Source organism: Homo sapiens, chromosome 14 (assembly GCF_000001405.40).
Source record: "Homo sapiens chromosome 14, GRCh38.p14 Primary Assembly".
NCBI classification, from domain to species: Eukaryota; Metazoa; Chordata; class Mammalia; order Primates; family Hominidae; genus Homo; species Homo sapiens.
In genome coordinates, this window is record NC_000014.9 from 104892919 (window position 1) to 104898918 (window position 6000).

Below are 6000 nucleotides of genomic sequence, written 5' to 3' on the forward strand. Positions count from 1 at the left end.
CCCCTGCTGCCCCGACTTCCTCTGTGCAGAACCTGCCGTCTTTCCTGCCGGCTGCAGGCTGAGCCAGACGCTGGTGAAGGACGTGGCCATCCTAGCCCAGGAGATCCACGATGTGGCTGGGGACGGTGACACACTGGGCTCCTCGGAGCCTGCCCACAGCGCCTCCCTCAGCAACATGCCCAGCACCCCCGCCTCGACCATCTCTGCCCGGGAGGAGGTGAGCCCCAGGCTTTCTGAGGCCCCTGTGCCAGAGCCACCCTCGAGGAGGGTCAGGCCAGGTCCCCACAGCCCTTTGCATGCCTCGGCTGAGGCCCTGCTGCACATCCCCACTTGGCGAGCTGGAACATGTCCCCCTGGGTCAGCGCCCCAAACGGCCACCGGAGAGCTCGAGGTCTGGGGCGCTCGTGGCACCTGAGTCAAGCCTGACTGTGCCGTCATCCCCAGCCCAGCTGCCTCCATGGCGGGGCAGGGGCACAGGAGGGACCTTGCACAGACGGAAGGTGGGTGTGCTCTGTCCACCTGCCGGGCCGGAGCAGGGAGGTGCAGCCACAGCCTGGCAGGAGCCTCTGCCTGGGGCCCACGGTGCCGGCCCTCCCTCTTGCAGCTGGTGCAGCGCATCCCCGAGGCCAGCCTCAACTTCCAGAAGGTGCCGCCCGGCTCGCTGAACTCTCGGGACTTTGACCAGAACATGAACGACAGCTGTGAGGACGCCCTGGCCAACAAGACGCGGCCTCGGAACCGAGAGGAGGCACGGTGCCCACTACCGCCACGGAGCTGGGTGTGGGGGGAGCAGGGGCGGGGCTCCTCGAGGGCGGGGCCATGCTGAGGCCGGGCTCTTGCAGGTGATCTTCGATAACCTGATGCTGAACCCGGTGTCCCAGCTGTCGCAGGCCATCCGTGAGAACACAGAGCACCTTGCCGAGAAGATGAAGTGAGTCGGCTTCCTGGCTGAGGTGGACGCCCAGACACCAGCACAGCTGCATGAGCTGAGACTCAGCCTGGCTGAATCCCTCAAGGGCAGCGGTTTCATGGGTACTCGTGTGCACCTGTGGAGCAGCCCTCCCGTGTGCACGTGTATGTGGCTCCCAGCAGGCAGACCCTGAACTCAGAGGAGCCAGCGCCTCCAGGGCGGCCCTTCCTCCCCTTCTCCCCTAGCCCTCATCCCGGGCCCAGCCCTCCCCACCGCCGAGTGTCAGGCACAGATGGGACTTTGGTGCCCTTCATGCATCAGGCCTCAGTTTCCCCCTTAGGCCCAGGTGGGCTGGGATGAACTTCACCATGGCAGAGGAGGTCTGGGAGAATTGTGCCTCAGCTCTGTCATCTCTGTCCTTGTCCCCCCATTTCTGCCTCCCCCTACCTCGGACAGGATCCTCTTTCAGAACACAGGGAGAGCTTGGGAGGACCTGGAAGCCAGGATCAACGCCGAGAACGAGGTGCCCATCCTGAAGACATCTAACAAGGTGAGCGCTGGGGCCCCGTGCCCCTTGGCCTGCCCCCAGCCAGCCTGCCTTTGCCTGGCTGGCCCCAAACCTTGTCCCAGCTCCTGCACACAGAGCCCCGGGGCAGGGCTGCAGCCCGTCAGAAGTTGACTCCACCTCCCTTCCTGCCACGTTTCCAGGAAATCAGCTCCATCCTGAAGGAACTGAGGCGGGTGCAGAAACAGCTGGAAGGTGAGTGTGGCCCAAGCCTGGGGCAGCAAGGGAGGCTGGCAGGGCCTTGTGGGGAACCCTGACTCACAGGGTGGGAGCAGGTGAACTGGATCCGCAGCCTGACCCTCCCTCCCCACCTCCAGTTATCAATGCCATCGTGGACCCCAGTGGGAGCCTGGACCTGCTCACAGGAAACAGGAGCTTGGCCAGCTCTGCACAGCCGGGGCTGGGGAAGGGCCGCGTGGCTGCCCAGAGCCCACCCTCACCCGCCTCAGCCGAGGCCCTGCTGCCAGCCCTGCCCCTGAGGAATTTCCCACAGCGGGCCAGCTGTGGGCCTCCCAGCCTCCCGGACCCCACCTTCCTCCCTGATGCCGAGAGGTTCCTGATCTAGGCCCCAGACCTGGCCAGGCCAGCCTCCCTGTGCGTGTGCGTCTCTGCCTTCCGTCCGCCGCACACCCGCCTGCCTGGCCGCAGGTGGTTCTCCCTGAAGACCCCCACATGTGCCATATCCCTGTGGGCGGGTGCCTCCCACGCCCTTGCCCCCTCGTCAGCTCCCAGCCAGCACCCTACTCACCCTGTCCAGCCCCATGGCCACCCCCACCCCTGCCTCGCCCCCTACAGGCCTCTGGGCCCAGCTCCTGGCCAGGCTGCTGCCAAGGTCAAGCCCTCAAGGGCATTACCCCGCCTCCTCTTCATCACTGTTATTTTTGTCTTTAGCTTTAAAGGAAAGAGTTGTTGGTGCCATTGCAGGTGCCCCCTCCAGGCCTGACTGGCTCCGCCAGGCACTAACCTGCCATAACCCTTTGTGCTGGCCTGCGGCCAGGCAGAGGAAGAGAGGTCGACTGTGGGGTCATTTGGTGCCAAACATGGAGGTGGGCAGGCTCACCTGTTCCTGGGACTGTCTGAGATGGCAGGGCACTTGCCCTGGTGGCTCCCACCTGACCCCAGGCCTTTTATAGGCAGGAGCCCCACTGCTTCCAGCCTCTGGTGCCAACACAGTTGCCAAACCCATTGAGCTTGGGGCTGCCCTGTGGAGGCCTCCTGGGTATGGACCAGGGGCTTGTTGAGAGCTGAGCCATGCACACAGGTGCAGACACCCCCCAACTCCCATGCACACGGCTAGTCCAGGCGCCTCCACGCTGCACCGTGAGGACTGCAGGGCATGTCCCCGTGAGGGGCTATGGGCCTCTGTAGGTGGGCTTCCAAGGTCCTGGGTGCAGCCGGGTGCATGGCAGCCCTTCTGGCGGGGGTGAGCGCACGACCAAAGTCACTGGAAGCCGGGTTTCCGGAAGCTCGCAGCTTGGCCTGCACCACACGCCCTCCCCTTTTGGCTTCACGCCATCAGGCCTCAAGTGGGCATGGGGGCAGGGACGGGCCCAGGAACTGTTGTTTTCTCAGGATTCTTTCAGCTGGGAACATGGCAGGTGAGCAGAGCTTGGTGCCTCTGCCGTGGCCCCTGCTGGGGCAGCCCGTGTTGCCGGAGCCTCTAAGCCAAAGAGCCCGTTGGCCGTGGTTGGTGGGGGTGGACGTGGGGGTGTCCCACCTGGACCAGACTGGCGTGGGTGAGCTCCACACCCTGCCTGGCAATGGTATGAGAGTCGGACCTGGACAGGGCCAGCTGCTGGGGGAGCGGCACTGGGGACTGGAGGCTGGAAGCGGGTGGTGTGTGTCCCCTGTTTACTTTTAGCTGAGCTGGGGTTGGGTGTACGGGTTCTGTTCCTCTGAGCCTGCGGCCCACCTGATGTTTACGTGTGTGTGTGAGGGGGGGCGGGGGTGGCAGGTGTCCCCCCCTGGTCCCCGCCCCAAGAGCCTGCTGTCTGTATGGAGGAGGTGCTAGCCCGGTCCACCGGGCTGCTGCCCACCCCTGCATGCCCCAGTTGCCCACCCCGCCTGCCCCTGGACATGAAGTGGTCACGCTTCATCCACGGCTCCTTCCCACCCCTCGGCAGTGGCTGTGCAATGTTTTAAGTTCACAAGTTCCTGCTCCTCCCCACACTGAGCTCCTTTGTTCCTCCCCCTCCAGCCTTTGCCTGGGAACTGGTCCTTGTTTGCCGGGCTTCTCGGAGGGTTCACTGTACATTCGTTCTCAGGTGGTCTTGTGGCTGTCTTTCGGAAAATGGTTATTTTATATGATTTGTCATGGAATTTGTTCTAATAAATCATTCTTCTATCACATGGCAGCACGCTGGAGCCTGTCACCTTGGCCTTGTTTCTCTATCCTTGGTGTTTGGGGTGGGTGGGGCCCTGCACATAGGACAGACCAGGGGTGGCTGCAATTCAGAGATGCTGCCACCAGGAGGCGGCCTGGGCTAGAAAGCAGCATTTCCAGATGTTTACTCCTAAAAAACAGAAGAGTTAATTTATGAAAACTGTTCAGTGAGACAGCATCCGAGAGCGCTGTTTTTGTTTGTTTGTTTGTTTTTGAGACGGAGTCTCACTCTGTCGCCCAGGCTGGAGTGCAGTGGCGCGATCTCGGCTCACTGCAAGCTCTGCCTCCTGGGTTCACGCCATTCTCCTGCCTCAGCCTCCCGAGTAGCTGGGACTACAGTCGCCCGCCACCACGCCCGGCTAATTTTTTGTATTTTTAGTAGAGACGGGGTTTCACTGTGTTAGCCAAGATGGTCTCGATCTCCTGACCTCATGATCCGCCCATCTCGGCCTCCCAAAGTGCTGGGATTACAGGCGGGAGCCACCGCGCCTGGCCGAGAGCACTGTTTAAAACCCCGCTCATCCTGCATAAAAATAGGCAGTAAGCAGGCACACAGTCCCCGTGTGGTGAGCACCACCTCCCGCCCCAGTTCCTTCTCCCTGCTAGGGCTTCGGAGGACACCCACTGCCCGTTGTTACATCACGTCACTGGCACCCATCACACCCGGGTTGTTGGAGGTGTCAGAGGTCACTGTCCACTTCCGGCCACAGGGCGGGCCCCACGGTACTGATGTGTTGTCCGGCTGCCAGGCTACCAGGCAGTGGTTCAGGTCCTCAGCAAGGCTGACCTTGAGACCCTGGCGGGAGTAGCAGGGCGGGCTTCTTACCTCCGCAGCCCAGCCGTCTGGCTGCTCCGAGCCCCTTGTCCTTCCACTCCCTGCGGTGGCCGTGGAGAGGACATCGCCAGATGTTCCTGGGTGGACTGCCTTTATGATGCCACCCTCCCCTGCCCTTGGGGATGCATTTGAGTTTGCAAGGGGGTGGTTGAGCCGAGCGGCCCGCCGAGAACTTGAGGACAGGGCTCCACAGGCCTCATGCAGCCACTCGGGGCCTCCACGCCTTGTCTTGCATCTGAACCATCTGAACGCCACTCCCGGGGCCACACTGGAGGTGGTCACCGCTGGCCCGGCCCCCTTAACGGGAGGCCACAGGGAGGACTGTGGGTAAGGCCAGGTAGTGAGACCTTAGTCTGGGCAGCAGACTCCTGAGGGCCTTCTGAGTGGGGCCCCTTAACGGGCCTTCCCAGAGACCCAGGACCTGCTGGAAAGTCAGCCTCAACAGACGTCCCAGGGCCCACGGCTGTGGAAGGTGCCGGGGGTGCGCCAGCCCTAGGGTAGGGCTGGGCCTGGCGGGCCAGTGGGCGGTGATCTGGTTTGGTGGGCTCAACATTCCAGGACCTCCCTAAGGAGTGCGAGCTTTTCTTGTTCCTTGTCTAGTCAGAGTGAGGAGGGCTTTGACTGGGAGTGAGGGCACAGGGGCTGCGGGAGGAGGCGGTGGAGGGCAGATGGGCCGTGTGGAGAGGCCGGAGGCTGAAGGGGCTGGGTCCCCGGCGGAGGGGCAGAGAGGGCCAAGGACATGCCCAGCTCCTGGCCCAAGTGGCCCAGATGTGGGGACAGTGGGTGAGATGCTCAGGTGACAGTTGGGGATGCAGTCAGGGAGCTGGAGCTGAGGAGAGAGAACCCTGCGGGACAGAGGGGAGCTCAGTGGCTCAGGGCCTGCTTTGGGTCTTGGGTCATTTGCAGGAGTGAGTGAAGCACACATGTGGTTTGTGTCCAATTAATCTTGCTAGTGACAAATATAAGAAACCATTAGACAGAATGAAGCCCGCACCTTTTCCATGCAAAAATTAATGGCTTTTTCAGAGAAAATTTTCAGAAAAATTCAAAGAAATGATGGCCAAACATTCAAATTATGACAAAAAAGACAGTAAACTGTTTTTACTCTCAAATACAATAAAATTTTACTGAGAAGGCTGTCATGATTTAGCTTGAAGAAGAACTTAAAATCATGCCACAGGCCATTTCTCCTTTTGGCCGTGAGTAATGGGGTACAGGATGGATTTGCCTTCTCACCTTGAACAGTGAGAAAATGACAAAATATGTGAAACGGCAGTTTTCAGACACTGGACAGCAGGCAGCACAGG

General features: G+C 61.3%; 1 protein-coding gene across 10 annotated transcripts in view; it reads left to right on the top strand.

Annotated features, from left to right (window-relative positions):
* Nucleotides 1-3829, top strand: part of CEP170B (centrosomal protein 170B) — a 32235-nt gene extending 28406 nt beyond the window's left edge. For all 10 annotated transcript variants that reach the window (XM_047431287.1, XM_011536665.3, XM_005267550.5 and 7 more), the window contains 6 exons: nt 58-217; nt 605-748; nt 843-931; nt 1367-1460; nt 1619-1670; nt 1793-3829. In XM_047431287.1, the coding sequence (XP_047287243.1) occupies nt 58-217; nt 605-748; nt 843-931; nt 1367-1460; nt 1619-1670; nt 1793-2040 (787 nt within the window). In that variant the 3' untranslated portion in view covers nt 2041-3829. The remainder of the gene's footprint in view (nt 1-57; nt 218-604; nt 749-842; nt 932-1366; nt 1461-1618; nt 1671-1792) is intronic.
* The last annotated feature ends 2171 nt before the right edge of the window (nt 3830-6000 follow it).